The following is an 18,641-nucleotide window of genomic DNA, read 5'->3' as shown; positions in this document are numbered from 1 at the left end:
TCACGCCATTCTCCTGCCTGAGCCACCCGAGTAGCTGGGACTACAGGTGCCCACCACCACGCCCGGCTCATTTTTTGTATTTTTAGTAGAGAAGGGGTTTCACCGTGTTAAGTCAGGATGGTCGTGATCTGCCCGCCTCGGCCTCCCAAAGTGCTGGGATTACAGGCCTGAGCCACCGTGCCCGGCCTCTGCCACTTCTGATATAGGTAACAAAAGGCCTTGTAGTTTCTTCTTTTTTAATTTTTATTATTATTTTTTAAGACGGAGTTTTGCCCTTGTCGCCCAGGATGGAGTGCAAAGGCACAATCTCCGGCCACTGCAACCTCCGCCTCCCGGGTTCAAGCGATTCTCCTGCCTCAGCCTCCCAAGTAGCTGGGATTACTAGCGCCTGCCACCACACCCAGCTACTTTTTAGTAGAGATGGGGTTTCCATGTTGGCCAGGCTGGTCTTGAACTCCTGAGCTCAGGTGATCCACCCACCTCGGCCTTCCAAAGTGCTGGGATTAAGGGCATCAGCCACCACGCCTGGCCTGTGGTTTCTTCTTTGCCCTTTCTCTTGGCTCACTCACTTGGCAAGAAAACAGCTACCTTTTCTTTTTTTAAGGATACTTGATCAGCACTATGGAGAGGCCCATGTAGTTGGAAAATGAAGCCTTCTGCCAATCAGCAATACCTTGAGCCTTTCTATCAGTGAGAAACTGAGGCCTCCTGTCAATAGCCAATAAGGAAATGAGGCTTCTTGCCAAAAACCACGAGTGGGCCACCTTGGAAGCAGATACTCTAGCCCCAGTCAAGCTTTCATATGGCTTCAGCCTTAGTTAACATCTTGACCCATTCTTGATCCTGAGCCAGAACTACTGAGCTAAATGCTCCTGAATTCCTGACCCACAGAAACTGAGATAACTGTTTATTTTTCCAAGCTGTTAAGTTTTGCAATAATTTATTGTGTAGCAATAGATAATTAACACAATCAAACTACCAAAGCTTGCTCAAGAAAAGCTTCACAATGTCCTATATCCGTAAAAGAAATGGAATTCGTGGTTAAAACCTTTCAACAGAGAAAACTCCAGGTCTGGATAGTTTCACTGTTGTATTCTATCAAGCATTTAAGAAAGAAAGAAAAAATGCCAGCTATTAGCTTAATTGTTGCTCCTTTCAAAGTAATATTTCTTTTGGCTTCTTTATACTTTTTCCATCTTTGGTTATCAGCAGTTTTACAATGGTGTAATTTCATGTGGTTTTCATTTTATTTATCCTGTTTGGGGTTTATAAGCGTTCTTGAATCTGAAGTTTGATGTCTTTCAATTTTTTTACAAAGTTTTTAAATATATTTTTTGTATTTTTTTGTTTGTTTGTTTTACCCAAGTCCTGCCTCAGGATCTATCTTTCAATTTTGTAAAGTTTTTAATAATTATCTTTTTTTTTTCTTTTTTTTGAGACAGAGTCTCAATCTGTCCCCCAGGCTGAAGTGCAGTGGTGCAATCTCGGCTCACTGCAAGCAAGCTCCACCTCCCGGGTTCACACCATTCTCCTGCCTCAGCCTCCCGAGTAGCTGGGACCACAGGCGCCCACCACCATACCTGGCTAATTTTTTTGTATTTTTAGTAGAGGTGGTGTTTCACCATGTTAGCCAGGATGGTCTCGATCTCCTGACCTTGTGATCCACCTGCCTAGGCCTCCCAAAGTGCTGAGATTACAGGCATGAGCCACCACGCCCAGCCAATAATTATCTCTTAAACTATTGCTTATGTTTCATTTTCTCTCTCCTCTCTTGGGACATAAATTTCCTCTGTTAGATCTTTTACTAAATCTATGTCTCAACTTTTGTATTTTTATTATTTTGTCTCTCTGCATCATTCTGGATTTTTTTTTCTAATTTGTGTTCATTCACCAATTCTTTCTTCAGCTATGCCTGTTCTGTCAATTCTATCCATCAGTCTCCTAATTTCAAGCATGCTAATTTTCAGTTCTAGTGTTTCCTTTAAAATTTTTTTTAAATTGACACAAAATAATTGTACATATTTATGGCATATATGGTGATATGTTGATACATTTACTGCACAGTGATTAGATCAGGGAAATCAGCATATTCTTCAACTCAAAACATTTCTCATTTGTGTTGGGAACATTCAATATCCTCTATTTGGAAATATATATTATTAACTATAGTCATCCTACAGTGCAGAAGAATGCTAGAACTTATCCCCCCCATCTAGCTGTTTCATTTTGTTTTTAATATAATTTTCAGTTCTTTGCCAAAATTCTTGTAAGTTTAATTTTCTTTTTCTTTTTTTTTTTAAGCTTGTCTCTGAAAACTCCAATATCTGGAGGTCCCTACAGATGTTTAAATAGAAGCTCCTGCTGGTATTCACTCATGTCTCTTTCTGTGGCTACTTTTTATTGTGTGTTCTACAGTGTACCTGCAAAACTGTTTATAGATTTATTTTGAGGCCTAGTTTGTTAGTTTTCTACACTGTGTAACAATATTACCACAAATCTGGTGTGTTAAGAACAAGACACATTTATTATCTCACAGGTTCTGTGGGTCAGGAGTCCAAGCACAGATTAGCTGGCTTCTTTCTGTTTCCTGGTCTCAAAAGACTGCAATCAAGGTGTTAGCCAGAGCTAAGGTCTCAGCTAGGGCTCCACTGAACCAGGATTCACTTCCAAAATAACAAGGTTGTTGGCAATCTTCAGTTCCTGGCACACTACTAGAACAAGGATCTGTTTTCTTGCTGACTACTGGCTAGAGGCCACCCTTAGTTTCTTGCCATGAGGCCCTCTCCAAAGGCTGGTTTACATCATGGCAGCTTGCTTCTTCAAAGTCAACAAGAGTCTCTTAATAAGATGAACATTAGAATTTGCTGTAATCATGTCCATCTCATCATCTTCGTGGTAGTCTATGGATTAGAATCAAGTCATGGGAGTCTCCCTCCACACAAGGAATACCAGGGGACAGGGATCATAGTGGCCACCTTAGAGTCTGTCTGCCACACCTAGGATGTTAATTTCTTCCTGAAAAGCAAATGTAGATTTGCTTCTGCCATGCATCTGAGAGCTCTAAAAACCTTAGATAACCTCAATCTAATTTCAGAAACTGAGGGTATTTGAAGCTGAGCTGCCATCCCTTTGAAGGCCTGCTTACTTCTGGACCACTGTTACTCCTAATGAGTAGCCATTTGGGATCCTCACTCCAAGTAAGGGAAAGGGTTTACCAGTGCAGGCCCCTTCTTCCTTGTCCCATAAGGTTGTCAAAATGGCCATTCAACAGCTCAGCAATCACTTACCACTCACAGAATTGGCCAACACAAGGGAAAACAGCTCCCCTAACAAAGTTTCTGTTTCCTTAGGAATTCTTCATTGTTGCCAGCTCGCTGATGTCTTCAACCAGGTGTTTTTAATTAATTTATTTTTAGTTTATCTTTTTTTTTTTAAGAGATGGGGTCTCCCTATGTTGCTGAGGCTGTTCTCAAACTCCTGAGCTCAAGTGATCCCCTAGCCTTGCCTCCCAAAGTGCTGGGATTAAAGGTGTGAGCCACCGTGCCCAGCCCAGATGTTTTTAAAATTTTGTTCAGCTGCCAGCTTTTCTAGATGTTCTCAGTGAAGATCTAGGACAAATTTCTTGGTCTACCATCATTGTAAATGAAAGCTTTTATTTTTATTTATTGTAGAGATGGGGGTCTCCCTATATTGCCCAGGCTAGTTTTGAACTCCTGGCCTCAAGCGATCCTCCTACTTTGGCTTCCCAAACTGCTGGGATTACAGGTGTGCGCCATTGTGCTCAGCCTACTTTTTTATGTCCAGCATTTGGAGAGGGCCACATGGCAAGAAATTCACTCAGCAAGAAAACAGATTCTTGTTCCAGTAGTTTGCTACGAACTGAATATTGGCAACAACTCTGTTATTTTGGAAGTGAATCCTGCTTCAGTGGAGCCTCAGCTGAGACCTCAGCTCTGAACACATCTGAAACACAGATGTGTTTCAACATAATCTAACCTAAAGCAAAACAAAGATTTTTCAACCTAGAAAAAAGATTAGAGAGTACTAATTATATTGAATATTTCTATTTCTGAAGCTTTCCATAATTTGGAAAATAAAATATTATTAAATACTGCATTTTTATGGCTAAAACATCAATCTAGAAATTAGCATGGACTTATAAAACATTTTAGATCAGTTGATATTTTGCTAATATCCCTATATGAAAGTCTTAAATACTGAGTATTCCTGCAAATTACATACAGTATTGAATTGCTCAAAACTGCATTGCCAAATATAAACAACACACCGATTAAACTAGCTACTGTAGTTGTCTATGGTGCTATGATATGAAGTTAGAATATCTGAAGGACATTAATATGTACTTCACTTCAAACGGAAAGCCTGAAATTGATGAAAACTTCAACAATAGATACTGCATCCCTATCTTTAAAATACACTGGTTTGGGAGGATATTATATAAATTTGGTAGCCTTTTATTCTTATGTGAATAAAGCATCAGACTTTATTTTTTAAGATCTGTAACTACTGGATATACTTTTAAAATAAATATCTGGCTGGCCACAGTGGCTCATGCCTGTAATCCCAGAACTTTGGGAAACCAAGGCAGGAGGATCACTTGAATCTAAGATTTTGAGATCTGTGCAAAGTAGTGAGACCTCATCTCTAACAAAAAATAACAAAACATTAGCTGGCATGATGGCACGAGCCTGTAGTCCTAGCTCCTCAGGAGGCTGAGGTGCGAGCATCACTTGAGCCCAGGCGGTTGGGGCTGCAATGTGCGGAGATCAAGTCACTGCAATCCAGGCTGGGTGACAGAGACCTTGTCTCAAAAAAGGAGGAATATCTAAGAGAATAAAATATGCTTACTTGCTCCAGGAATAAATTAAAAAATATAAACTATCAACCACCTTTAGTGGAGACCACTAGCTGTACCTAACTCAATTCTGTACTTTTTTCCCCAACTTTTCCTGGGCACATGACTACCTGGAATGAAAGCTATATTTTCCATCCTTCCTTGCTATTTACAAGTAAGGCATTATGACTAAGTTTGGCCAGTGACATTTAAATAGAAGTGTTGGGTACAACTTCTGGGAAATTTCTTTAGACAGGGGATGTAACTTTCTCACTGCCCTCTTTCTTGCTGGCCAGAGTGCTGCTGTGAGGGCTAGAGCTTCACCAGCAACCTTGGATCATGGGTTGAATGCCAAGTGCTGAGGTTGGTAGACTAACACAGCAACCCTGAAATACTTACCTCTGGAATTCTTTCATGTGAGAGGAAAAAAAAATTCTCTCTCTTTTTTTTTTTTAAGCCTCTGGTATTTGGGGTTTTAGTTTTATGCTGCTGAACCTAATCTTAAGTGATACACTTTTCAATTGCTGACATATTAATCCTTTATTAGAAATTGTAAATGAGAAATTATATCAACACCTGAGGACCAAACTACAACAGAATATTCCATAGGCTCAAGATTTTGAGACATTCTGGAAAGAGTTTTCTGTAAGGTATATCCTTTCCGTGGCATGGCAACATCATCATTCTTTAAAAAGGTGACTGGACAGACATCATTTCCACCATCACCAATATAAACAATTTGTGTATAATTCACTCCCTGTTGTAACTGTTTATCTACAAATTCTATCAAAACTACCTTTTTGCAAAGATTCTTTGGGCATCTATTGCAAGAATGAGTATGATAATTTTCAACAGTGAGATGACCATTGCTATTAAAAGCTGCTGGATTTGTAAACACTTTATCAAATATGTCATGAAAACTGGCAGCTTCTAAAACCCAATCTATGAAGACCGAATTTGAATCTGAAATAATAATGCAGTCAAATTTATCCTTATTCTTTCTTATAAAGTTGAAGAGTTCCACCATCCCTGGAGTGAAAGGCAATGATGTCACTGCTCTTTTCATTTCATGTTCTCTTACACCCTTATCTCCCAAATACTTAAAGACTCTGCCCATAAATTCTGTCCAAAATCCTTTTCGATAAGAATCACGTAGTTCAATAGGAAGCTTTTTGTTGGGAGCACATTGTACAATCCAAGTGTCACTATTGTCATCTATGATTGTATTGTCAAAGTCAAAAACTAGCAAAATTTTCATGGTTCCAGAAATAGATTTGGATTACCCTGAAAAAGAAGAAATATTATTCCCTAAACAAACTCTGTTTACATATCTAGCTAAAATACTTATTTAATAAACATAACTAAATGTTAATCTGCTAAAGGGAGGAATATAAACAAAGTAATTAAGCACTTCAAGACCACTACCTAACCACTTTTCTCTAAGAAGCAAAGTTCGTATTTGAGTATTTTAAGTGGAAAACAAAATATATAAAAAGGACATTCATAGTATTATTGTGTTCCTGGAGGTGTGTTTCTTATAGAATTTATAAGAAAGAAAAAAAAGCATTTCTTACTATCATTAAATTATCAATCAAACCACACTTATTTTATTAGATTAAAATATTTACAATCCTCATATTAAATAACAGATCATGTATAAAGGACTCTCTGTGTACTAACCAAAATTCTGAACAAATTTAACATAACATGAAATCTTGGAAGATGTAAAATAACTTTTTAAGAAAAGGTATTTAGTAACAAAAACAAGCAATGGGGAAAGGATTCCCTATTTAATAAATGGTGCTGGGATAACTGGCTAGCCATATGCAGAAAACAAACTGGACCCCTTCCTTAACACCATATACAAAAATCAACTCAAGGTGGATTAAAGACTTAAGTGTAAAACCCAACACTATAAAAAACCTAGAAGAAAATCTAGGCAATACAATTCAGGACACAGCAAAGGCAAAGGTTTCATGACAAAGATGCCAAAAGCAAATGCAACAACAGCAAAAATTGACAAATGGTATCTAATTAAACTAAAGAGCTTCTGCACAGCAAAAGAAACTATCAACAGAGTAAACAGACAACTTAGAGAATGGGAGAAAATTTTTGCAATTTATCCATCTGACAAAGGTCTAATATCCAGCAACTATTATAAAGTTGAAAAGTTCCACCATCCCTGAAGTGAAAGGCATCGATGTCACTGCTCTTTTCATTTTATCTTCTCTTACACCTTTAGCTCCCAAATAGTTAAAGACTCTGCCCATAAAATCTGTCCAAAATCCTTTTTGATAAGAATCATGTAGTTCCTTGATAAGGAACTTAAACAAATTTACAAGAAAAAACAAACAGCCCCATTAAGAAGTGGGCAAAGACACAAACAGACAATTCTGGAAAGAAGACAATACATGTGCCCAAGAAATATATGAAAAAAAAGCTCAACATCACTGATCATTAGAGAAATGCAAACTAAAGCCACAACGAGATACCATCTTATACTAGTCAGAATGGCTATTATTAAAAAGCCAAAAAATAACAGATGCTGGCAAGGTTGTGGAGAAAAAGGAACACTTTTACACTGTTGGTAGGAGTGTAAATTAAATTAGTTCAACCATCGTGGAAGACAGTGTGGTGATTCCTCAAAGACGTAGAGGCAGAAATACCACTTGACCCAGTAATCCCATTACTGGGTATATACCCAAAGGAATGTAAATCATTCTATTATAAAGATACATGCAAGCGTATGTTCACTGCAGCACTGTTCACAATAGCAAAGACATGGGATCAACCTAAATGCCCATCAATGACAGACTGGATAAAGAAAATGAGGTACTTATACACCATGGAATATTATGCAGCTATAAAAAGGAATGAGATGATGTCCTTTACAGGGACATGGATGGATCTGGAAGCCATTATCCTCAGCAAACTAACACAGGAACAACAACAAGAAAAACCAAACACCATGTGTTCTCACTTATAAGTGGGAGCTGAATCATGAGAACACGTGGAAGGGAATAACATACCCTGGGACCTGTCAGAGGGTGGGGGTGGGAGGAGGCAGAGCATCAGGAAAACAGCTAGTGGATGCTGGGCTCAATACCTAGGTGATGTGATGATCTGTGCAGCAAACCATCAGGGCACACACTTACCTATGTAACAAATCTACACATCCTGCACATGTACCCCTGAACTTAAAAGGTGGAAATCAAAAAAATTAAAAAAGTATTTAGCTTAAAATCAATTTCTAAATATCAATATTATAAGTAAATGATTGCTGACACTCTATATGATATTCTAAACAAATTACCTGAGAACTGGAGGCCAATTTAATTCTTCCAAACTAGAAGTAACTTGGTTAAGAGTTTTCACATGTTTATTTATAGCTGCTCTAGATAGTTTAGCTCTGGGGTGCCAAATAATTTGAATACACCTGAGTAATCATACTGTTTGTGGTGTGACAATTACTTATGTCTCTGTTTTCATTAGAATATAATGAAGGTGATTAATTATAAATCTCAAGAGAAAAGGAAAGAATAAGCTGGTCAACTGATGGTAAGAATAAACATTATTTATAAAAAATAACTATATAGAATATCCAGAAAAGGATATAATTAATGTGTGTAAACAGATAATAATAATAATTTTGAGAGTCATTATATGTCAGGCACTGACCTAAAAACTTTGCAATATCATACCATTTAATTGTCACAACCCTATTAAGTAGGAATCATTATTATCCTCATCTTAAAGATATATAAGCTGGATCTTGAAGTGGTTAGGTGTTAGTAAAGTGCCAGAGCTGGAATCTTAGGTTGATTTGATTCCAGACTTCATGCTTTTAAGTACCAAATTCTAGTGTTAAAAAATAGAATATTTAATGACTACTCATTAGTTTAAAAATATAACACTAAGTAGGTAATTTTGGCAGAAAGATATTTAATTACATAAAAACATTCATTACTTTCAAAGTACACACTAACCATAACACCACATCTGTGATACTCTTTATAACCATTTTGAGGTTTTTACAAGAAATCCTAAAAAGGCAAAGAACCACAGCAATAAGAAAAAGATCAATTAAAAATGAAAAACATGGCATTTAACCACACATATTCTCCAGTTTATAACAGTAGACACCCAGTAGTGAAGACAGAATAGAGCTCTTGACTCACATAAGACTAAGTATTCTGTGTCTCTTAATTTAGAATATCTAGAGAATAATTAACCTATAGGGGTATCACCTGTTGTGTGAATGTGGCTGGTACATAGTTTTTGTTATTCTGGATCCTTGTATCACTAAATGCCTAATCCAGATGCTTCTGACTGGTTCCCTGAAATTTAAATGCAGAATTCACTTTCCTACAGAAACAATGTAATAAATAATAAGGCATAATTGACAATCACAGTAGTACTGTAACTAGGCACATTTTAAATTAAATATGCTTTTTGAGAATTCTGAATTTATAATTAAAACAAATTTCAAATGTAACTCACTGTTGTTTGAAAACTGCCTCAAACCTAAACTTAATTAGCCACAAATTACTGAAATTCCTGAATTATTAGCCTCAAAATAGCATGAGACTGAGGTAACATAGTTCCCCTGCTGATCTGAAAGTGCACTTTTAAAATTTTCCCATCTTTTTCTGTTAGTATTTTCTCACCACTCAACATAAACCTTTAAAAAATACTTACCCAACTTAGTATTTCCAAGACAATCTTACTTCAGCATTGGGATTAGGATAAACAATCATGACAATCTTCAGTTTTAAACATCAGCCAGTTGTTTTCAAATATTACTCCTATTCTATATACAGGGAACAGAGTCTTCTGGTTTGGAGCAAAATAATGGAAACTTCTTAACTCCTAAAATTAATAAAAGTATTTTAAAAGCTTTAACATTTGTATTTTCAGGCCGGGCGCAGTGGCTCACGCCTGTAATCCCAGCACTTTGGAAGGCCGAGGCGGGGGATCACGAGGTCAGGAAATGGAGACCATCCTGGCTAACACAGTGAAACCCCATCTCTACTAAAAATACAAAAAATTAGCTGGGCGTGGTGGCGGGCACCTGTAGTCCTAGCTACTTGGGAGACTGAGGCAGGAGAATGGTATGAACCTGGGAGGCGGAGCTTGCAGTGAGCCGAGATCGCGCCACTGCACTCTAGCCTGGGCAACAGAGCGAGACTCCGTGTCAAAAAAAAAAAAATTTTTTTTTTTGTATTTTCTAATTATGTTGTTTTTCTAATGTCAGAAAAGCATCTTTTGGCAATAGGAGAACAAAGTTTTGCTTTCCACTTGGTATCGACTTGGTGTCGAAAATAAGAAATGTTATGTGAAAATAAGTTTTTGTCCAGTGGATAAAATCAGTGTTAAGCTGATTGAGATTTTCAGAGTCCATTTTTTCTTTGTACTTGTTTAATAATAGAGGAGTTCCACATTCTGTTGTCAATAGACATTTAGTGCTGTACTAGAAATTAAAATGTCTCCAAAAATTAAGAATATGAACAAAGATTTAGTTTTAAGAATGTGAATCTGTTTTGAAACCAATTTGTTAAAATTCCAAAAAGTTAACTGTTCTCTTCAAAAGCACAATCTATGTCTATTTGGTATGTCTGCAATGTTTCCATAGTGTAACAATATCCTGCATACTTTACACAATAATGAAAATTAAAAACTACACAGACATCCAAGAATTGGGAAATAATTAAGTAAGATATGCATGTGATAGCAAATAACAGAATATCCAGCCAGTAAAAGCCAAGATATTCAGTTCAAATTAAATAAGCAAGTCACAAAATAGTGTGTACAGTATAATCCTGTTTTTGTTTTAGAAAATGTTTACATGTGCAGTGGGATGGTTATGGTTGGTTCAACCGTAGTTCACACTTTTTCTACATCAATTTTGTAATAAAATTTTTTTCTTCTCAGAATAATTTAAACTCTGTTTCAGATCAGAGTGCATATGCTACCTTATTAAATTCACAACAAAGAAATAAAAGAGTGGTGGGTATAGGACAAATAACTCTAGATTGACTTGGTTGTGACAATCCACAGGTTGGAGCTGGAATCTCGAGTCTGAAGTCAAATTATATCTGACCACCATGTCAAATTGGCAAGTAACTGACATCAAATCATGAGATTCAATACTTTTGTAACCAATTTTGTTAAAATTCCAGAAAATTGTTGTTGGGAGACAATTTTCCCTGCGTCTCTGGTGGTTCTGCATGTCTTACTGACTGCCCTTTCCTCTAGACTATTGTCTCAAGGATGTTTGTACACTGGACAGCCTTGAGAAACATGCTTATTTGTCCAAATGATAAAGATCTGGGTTCCCTAAGCTCAGGGCTCCTTTCCTGTAATTCGACACACACTACATCTAGGTGACTTCTTGCCCACTTTGCATTATCCTGTGGGAACTGGGGCTTTAGGGAACTCAGGCGAAATTGCTGATTTACTGGCTACTGCTGGGAGTAATTCATTCCTGAAATGAATAGTCTTGTGTCTTCCATGAAACTGCCAGGCTAAGTTAGCCTGCAAACAGGGTAAAAATCTCTGTTCCTTCCCAGTTCTTGAAACTTTTTTTTTTTTTGAGACGGAGTCTCGCTCTGTCGCCCAGGCTGGAGTGCAGTGGCACGATGGTCGGCTCACTGCAAGCTCCGCCTCCCAGGTTCACGCCATTCTCCTGCCTCAGCCTCCAGAGTACCTGGAACTACAGGCGCCCGCCACCACGCCTGGCTAATTTTTTTGTATTTTTGCTAGAGACAGGGTTTCACCGTGTTAGCCAGGATGGTCTCGATCTCCTGACCTCGTGATCCGCCCGCCTCGGCCTCCCAAAGTGCTGGGATTACAGGCGTGAGCCACCGCGCCTGGCCCCCAGTTCTTGACACTTTTTAAGGTATAGTTCCAAAAACCTACCAGCGCTGTATGTGCACAAACTAATTTCTGTCTTCAAATATTTTCTTAATTATTCCATACTTACCAGCATTATTACGTGGAACATCTGATAGAAAACCTAAAGAAAAATAGCACGACTATGTGTTAGAACATTCGTTATTAAAAATCTTTTTGTTCTTTCATTTTGAGAGACTCCAATTTGGTGCATTATGTGTACACGTCAGAGCCAACTTGTTAGTAATGAAGTTATCTGTACATCAATGTGTTAGAAAAGCATCTTTTGAAACCAAACGCGCAGCTACTCCTAACAGATTTCTGTGGTCATGTATTTACCAAGAAATTTAAAATATCTCAAAGGTCCTAACGTAAATATTCTAAGCATATCATTACGTTTTAACATTCCTATTTTTAAAAAACTTGGCCCCATCTAGTCCTGACCATGCCTCAGAAACCAAAGGATTAAAAAAACAGCGTTTATGTCAGCGAATCCGCGGGTTTTTATAGTTAAGGGAGGGCTTTGCTCCTCACACTCCACCCGCGAGGAGATCTGCGGACGCACACACCACGCCTAGGCCTCGCGCGCTCACACACCTGCCGGCTCCACCCCGAGGGTAGGCATCGGACCCAATCGGGGGTCGTCCCCCATGGGGAGCGCGCAGGTGGGGATGGGAGTAGCAGGCAGGGCGGGGGCCCACGGGCTTCTCACTGACCCAGTCCCGCCGTCGGCAGCCGCCCCGGCGCCCGTGACGCTCCTGCGGGTTCAGTCCTTTGGCCTCGCCCCACGCCTGCCCTCTCGGCAGCCCCACTCACAAGCCCAGCTCGCAAGCGCAGGCGCCTCTCTTCTCTAGCCCGACCGCCAACTGCAGCACCTCCCTTGTTCCTCGGCTACGGCTGGCGTCACTTCCGGCGGCGTTGCCAAGCAACCGCGTGGTACGAGTAACAACTCCACCGGCTGGCGTCCGCGGCGCTTGGCGCCACAGTCACTTTTCCAGATCTAGGAGCATCATGGACACCTCGTCAGAGATGCTGGTACGGTTTGGACGGCGCTGTGGACGGGCGAAGGAAAGTACAGGTGAGCTAAACTGACCTATCCAGGGACAGGGATTGTTTCTGGACCCCCGGCATGGAGTGAGAGGCGAGGATGCCGAATGAGGGCTTCAGTTGCCTTTTGAAATGGACTCCACCAGGTCGAAAGCATCCTCAATAAGCATCTTTGGGCTCTGTGTGAAGTTAGGCCGTCTTGCCCTCAGGTGAATGGGTGAAGGAGGGAAACGGGGAGTGGAAGTGGGTGGGAGAATGTTTACAGAAATAGGGGTGGAGAAAAGATAGGAAATCAGAGACCCCCACCCCCAGCCCCAGCTGACCTAAAACTGCGCAGTTGCAGCTCTGAGAGTCTGGGTTTTGTTAAATTTCCCGCACGCTTAAAGTTTGTTATTCACTGATTGAATTGGAATATCTCTTGGAAATATAAGTCACCTCTTTAGAGGCTTGGCTCTTCTGCAAACCTGCTGATTGGTCTTTACTAAAAGTCTCTGAAGGAAATATCTCCATTTCCTCCTCTCTAAAGTAAATATAAGGTCTCTCTCTAAGTCAAATGCTTTTAGAGAGTTAAAAAAAAATCGTGTGACATAAAGTACTGTAATTCAGGTGACCTGTTATAACAATTTGATTTTGGAATAGAAATAGACTTCTAAAGAACTCTATCAATTCTAGCTACAACAGTTTCTTACGTCTGTAAATTAGCAATTAATGTTGTCATGGTGACAACTAGAACTTTGGCAATTTGAAGTATCTTCATGTCATTGCCCGAGCTTCTGTAGCAATAGTGCCCCCTGCACCAGATGCAGAGTGACAGCCAGTCATTCTTCACTAGTGGATATTTATGCAGTGGAGGTTTTATGAGGTTAGCAGCGGACTTTTGCCATGTAAAAGGAAAGAAACAGTACCAACATGGCCAGTTTTGGAAAAGCACAATTAGTCCCACACATTCACTTTCCTGCATATGCATTTCTGCACTACCTGGTTTAGATTTACCTAATAGTTGTTAAATAATGTTTTGTGGCAACTAGCTCAAAAGCTTCCACCTGAGCCTCACTGCTAAATTTTAATCTCCATTTTTAGGGGAAGGCTAAGTTGGAGAGAGGTTCAGAGATGTGTGCAGCTATTAGTAAAATAAATAATTTATAAAGATTTAGTGGGATGACATCAGCCAGAATGGTGAAATAGGATCTATGCCTGAAATCCTCTCCTCCATAAAATCAACAAGAACAGTGGCAAAAATCATCAATATCGACTTTTTCAGAACTCTGGAAATTAACCAAAGGCTTGCAACAATTTGTAGAGTGTTTACTAAAGAAAAACAGCTGGATTTTTGTAACAACAGCAAGGTTTTTGGCATTTTAACTTGCCATAGTCCTATACTTTTCTCCCAGCCCCGTGTCAGCCTAGATAACCACAGTAATCACAGTGAAAAATAGTGACTTAGCAACTGGTAGAGGGGACAAAACAGAATTTGACCCACTCCAAAGCCAGACAACTGTTATTATTCGACATGTTTGATAGTTCCTTGGAAAATCTCACTCATGAGGCTTATTGTTATTTAGTCTGACTTCAAACTCACCAAGTATGTTTGTCAAATGTTCAGTGGCAATTTTAAATATCACAGCTATCAGAGGCATGTGTGGGAACTTAATCCCCAATGTAAAAATGTTGGAAGGTAGGGACTAATGAGAGGTGATAGGCCATGAGGGCAGAGTAAAGGGATTAATGCCATTATCTGGGGAATGGGTTCATTATAAAAGTGGGAAAGTTGGCCCTCTTCTTTCTCTCTCTCTCTCTCTGTCTCTGTGTGGTGTGTGTGTGTGTGTGTGTGTGTGTGTGTGTGTGTGCGTGCGCCTGTTGCCCTCTCTTTGCCCTTTTGCCATGTAATGCCTTCCATCATGTTATGATGCGGCAAGAAGGCCCCTGCCAGATGCTGGCACCTCGATACTAGCTTTCTCAGCCTCCAGAACCATAAGCCAATAAATTTCTATTCCTTATGAATTACCGAGTCTCAGGTATTCTGTTATAACAGCATGAAACAGGCAGGCAGTGATACAGTTGGGAGGCAAACAACAAGCTGACCGAAAATCTTAAAAGGATCAGTTGGGAAGTGATATGTCCATAGGGGGCTTTGGAAAGCTCCTGACATATTCCTGGGAATCTAGAAGGCCAAGTGCATGCATAGAGCTATGTATATGCCCAGGAAAGACCTGCAAATGCCTCTCACCTATGACTTACCTTGAGACTCTGTTTAAGAAAGAAGTAGAGGCTAAGATGGAGTTGTAAATTGCCTGCCCGAGCATTGAAGGCATGCCTTAATACTCATAGACAGTCCTTTGGCAAAGACTGGGAGACTTGTTAGTTCCAGTCATCCAAAGATATGTCTGTCTAGTTATTAGCTGACCACTAAGCAAACCAGAGACTGCAGTGACTCCAGTGGCCACATGTGACAAAGAATACAGACTACAGAATTGGTTCAGAGAAGTCCTGAAACAAACAACAACAGCAGGAATGAGAAACTTTGGGTGTATGTAGAAATCTGATTTCCAGAGTTGACACATATATGTACAGTTTTTAATAAAAATTATGAAAGATGAAAAGAAATAAAGTATGACCCAAACACAAGAAAAAGGTTTCAATAGAAAGTGTCTTTGAAATGGACTCCACCAAGTTGAAAGCATCCTCAATAATCATCTTTTGGCTCTGTGGAAGTCTGGCCATTTTGTGCTCAGTTGAATGGGTGGAAGAGGGAAAGGGGGAGTGGAAGTGGCGGGGAGGATGTCTACAGAAGTAGGGGTGGACAAAAGATAGGAAATCAGAGACTGCCCCCCCAACTGACCTAAAACTGTGCAGTTGCAGTTGTTGTAAGCCCAGATGTTGGATTTACTAGATACAAACTTTTGTAAATTTATAGCTATTGTAAATATATTTAAAGAACTAAAACAAAAGTCTAAAGAACTATAGAAAAGTATTAAGAATGTTGTCTTACCAAATAGAGGATATCAATGAATATTTAAAAAAATTATAAAAAGGAACTGAACAGAAATGTTGGAGTTGAAAAGCACAATAACTGAATTAAAAAATTAACTAGAGGGATCAATAGCTGATTTGAACTTGCAGAAGACATAATCAGTGAACTTGAAGATAAGTCAATTGAGATTATTCAGTCTCAGAATAATGAGAAAGAAAAAAAGATAAAAGAATGAAGAAAAATGAGCAGATCTTCAGAGAAATGTAGGGCACCAGCAAATATGCCAACATAAATGTAACTCGAGTTCTGGAAGAAAAAGAGCAGAGAAAGGGGTAGAAAAATTTGAAGAATTAATGGCCAAAAGCTTTCCAAATTTGATGAAAAACATCACACAATCAAAAGGCTCAGTGATCCTCTAAGTATGGTAAACTCAACTCAAAGAGATCAACAGCTGTACACATCATGATCAAACTGTTGAAAGCTAAAGACAGAGAAAATCTTGAAAGCACAAAAGAGAAATGACATTACATAAAAGTAATCCTCAATAAGATTAACAACAAATTTCTTATAAGAAATTATGGAGTCCAGGGGCAGCAGGCTAATATATTCAAATTACTGAAAGAAAAAGTCTTCAAGAATTCTTTTTTTTTTTTTTTTGAGACAGAGTCTTGCTCTTGTCACCCAGGCTGGAGTGCAGTGGCATGATCTCGGCTCACTGCAACCTCTGCCTCCCAGGTTCAAGTGATTCTCCTGCCTCAGCCTCCTGAGTAGCTGGGATTACAGGCACCCGCCACCACACCTGGTTAATTTTTGTACTTTTAGTAGAGATGGGGTTTCGCCATGTTGGCCAGGCGTGTCTCAAACTCCTGACCTCAGGTGATCCCACCTTCAATTATTAATTGAAAAAATTCTCACAAAGAAAAACTGGGTACCAGATGGCTTCATTGGCTAATTCTACTAAATTTTTAATGAAATATTAACATAAATCCTTCAAAAACTTTTTAAAAAATAAGAGGAAGGAGCACTTTCCAGCTCATTCTATAAGGGCAGTATTACCCTGATACCAACATCAGACAAAGATATCACAAGAAAACTATAGATCATTATCCTTTATGAATAGAGATGCAAAAATCTTCAACATAGTTTTAGCACATGAGCTAGATGTGGCACACACCTCCCAGCTACTTGGGAGGCTGAAGTGGGAGGACCACTTGAGGCCAGGAATTTGAGGCTGTAATGTGCTATGGTCACACTTGTAAATAGCCACTGCGCTCCAGCCTGGGCAACATAGTAAGACCCCATCTCAAAAAATAAGTTAATTAATTAAATAAAATACTAGCAAACCAAATCCAACAACATATAAAAAATTATTATATACCATGACCAAGTGGTATTTATCCCAAGAATGCAAGGTTGGTTTAAAAACAATTAATGTAGTACACTGTGTAAATAGAATAAGGAACAAAACTACATGATTATCCTAATAGAAAAAACATTTGACAAATCTAACATCCATTTATGATAAAAACAACAAACTGGGAATAGAAGGGAATTTTCTTAACCTGATGAAGGAGACCTATGAAAAGCCCATAGCTAACATCATAGTTAATGGTGATAGACTGAAACCCTGATCAGGAAAAGAAAAGTATGCCTGCTTTCGTCACTTCTGTTTAACATCATACTGGAAATTCTAGCCATGGCATTTAGGCAAGCAAAACAAAAGGCCATCCAGATTGGAAAGGAAGAAATAAAACTTTCTATATTCACAGATGACATGATATTCTATATTAAAAATCCTAAAGAATGTACTAAACATTTATAAGATCTAATAAAGTTTAGTGGCATTGAAAGATGATCAGTTTACAAAATGGTATTTCTGTACACTTGCAATGAAGAATCTGATGATGAACTTAAGAAAACAATTCCATTTACAATAGCACCAAAATACTTAGGAAAAGTTTTTATTTCTAAAGAAAAATACTTAGGAATAAGCAAAAATTTACCCTTTAAAAAACTACAAAACATTATTGAAAAAATTAAAGATATAAATAAATGGAAAGACATCTTGATATAGTTTGGATGTGTCCTGACCCAAATCTCAACTTGAATTGTATCTCCCAAAATTCCCATGAGTTGTGGGAGGGACCCAGGGGGAGATAATTGAATCATGGGGGCCAGTCTTTCCCGTGCTATTCTTGTGATAGTAATTCAGTCTTATGAGATCAATGGGTTTATCAGGGATTTCCACTTTTGCTTCTTCCTCATTTTCTCTTGCCACCACCATGTAAGAAGTGTCTTTCAACTCCTGCCATGATTCTGAGGCCTCCCCAGCCATGTGGAACTGTAGGTCTAACTAAACCTCTTTTTCCCAGTCTTAGGTATGTCTTTATCAGCAGTGTGAAAACGGACTAATACAGTAAATTGGTACCAGCAGAGTGGGGCATTGCTGAAAAGATAACTGAAAATGTGGAAGTGACTTTGGCACTGGGTAACAGGCAGAGATTGGAACAGTTTGAAGAGCTCAGAAGAAGACAGGAAAATGTGGGAAAGTTTGGAACTTCCTAGAGACTTGTTGAATGCCTTTGACCAAAATGCTGATAGCGACATGGACAATAAAATGCAGGCTGAGATGGTCTCAGATGGAGATGAGGAACTTTCTGGAAACTGGAGTAAAGGTGATTCTTGCTATGTTTTAGCAAAAAGACTAGCGTCATTTTACCTCTGCCCTAGAGATTTGTGGAACTTTGAGAAAGATGATTTAGGGTACCTCGCAGAAGAAATTTCTAAGCAGCAAAGCATTCAAGAGGTGAGTTGGATACTGTTAAGGGCATTCAGTTTTAAAAGGGAAACAGAGCATAAAAATTCAGAAAATTTGTA

General features: G+C 38.9%; 3 protein-coding genes across 11 annotated transcripts in view, besides 2 other annotated features; 1 reads left to right on the top strand and 2 right to left on the bottom strand.

Annotated features, from left to right (window-relative positions):
- Positions 1-12,616, bottom strand: part of PHOSPHO2-KLHL23 (PHOSPHO2-KLHL23 readthrough) — a 57,410-nt gene extending 44,794 nt beyond the window's left edge. For both annotated transcript variants that reach the window (NR_144936.2, NM_001199290.3), the window contains exons 1-3: positions 12,463-12,616; positions 11,838-11,870; positions 9,554-9,724 (exon numbers count right to left, since the gene is read on the bottom strand). The gene's annotated coding sequence lies outside the window, so the exon portion shown is untranslated. The remainder of the gene's footprint in view (positions 1-9,553; positions 9,725-11,837; positions 11,871-12,462) is intronic.
- PHOSPHO2 (phosphatase, orphan 2) lies at positions 5,377-12,616 on the bottom strand. Of its 5 annotated transcripts, NM_001199287.2 has the most exons (5): positions 12,463-12,616; positions 11,838-11,870; positions 9,554-9,724; positions 9,103-9,220; positions 5,377-6,139 (listed from the first exon to the last, which is right to left on the bottom strand). In NM_001199287.2, exon 5 carries the CDS (start codon positions 6,111-6,113, stop codon positions 5,388-5,390), a length of 726 nt encoding a protein of 241 aa, NP_001186216.1. In that variant the 5' UTR covers positions 6,114-6,139; positions 9,103-9,220; positions 9,554-9,724; positions 11,838-11,870; positions 12,463-12,616; the 3' UTR covers positions 5,377-5,387. The 5 variants fall into 5 exon arrangements, with proteins under 5 accessions (NP_001186216.1, NP_001186215.1, NP_001008489.1 ...); NM_001199286.2 differs by lacking the exon at positions 9,103-9,220 and having other exon boundaries at positions 12,344-12,616; NM_001008489.4 differs by lacking the exon at positions 9,103-9,220.
- Positions 12,308-12,587: a silencer, noted in NCBI's record as "silent region_12082". NCBI's record gives its function as "represses an Ori minimal core promoter by ATAC-STARR-seq in GM12878 lymphoblastoid cells {active_cell/tissue: GM12878}" and the evidence as "EXISTENCE:reporter gene assay evidence [ECO:0000049][PMID:35858748]".
- CFAP210 (cilia and flagella associated protein 210) overlaps positions 12,680-18,641 on the top strand; it is a 48,981-nt gene continuing 43,019 nt past the window's right edge. For all 4 annotated transcript variants that reach the window (XM_047443327.1, XM_011510590.2, NM_001085447.2 and 1 more), the window contains exon 1: positions 12,680-12,824. Coding sequence is in view for 1 of the 4 variants with exons in the window: in NM_001085447.2 (NP_001078916.1) it covers positions 12,758-12,824 (67 nt within the window). In the remaining 3 variants the exon portion in view is untranslated. The remainder of the gene's footprint in view (positions 12,825-18,641) is intronic.
- Positions 12,718-12,897: an enhancer, noted in NCBI's record as "active region_16742". NCBI's record gives its function as "activates an Ori minimal core promoter by ATAC-STARR-seq in GM12878 lymphoblastoid cells {active_cell/tissue: GM12878}" and the evidence as "EXISTENCE:reporter gene assay evidence [ECO:0000049][PMID:35858748]".

The sequence above is a fragment of the Homo sapiens genome, chromosome 2 (assembly GCF_000001405.40).
Source record: "Homo sapiens chromosome 2, GRCh38.p14 Primary Assembly".
Taxonomy (NCBI): Eukaryota; Metazoa; Chordata; class Mammalia; order Primates; family Hominidae; genus Homo; species Homo sapiens.
This window is presented reverse-complemented; position numbering and strand designations above follow the sequence as displayed.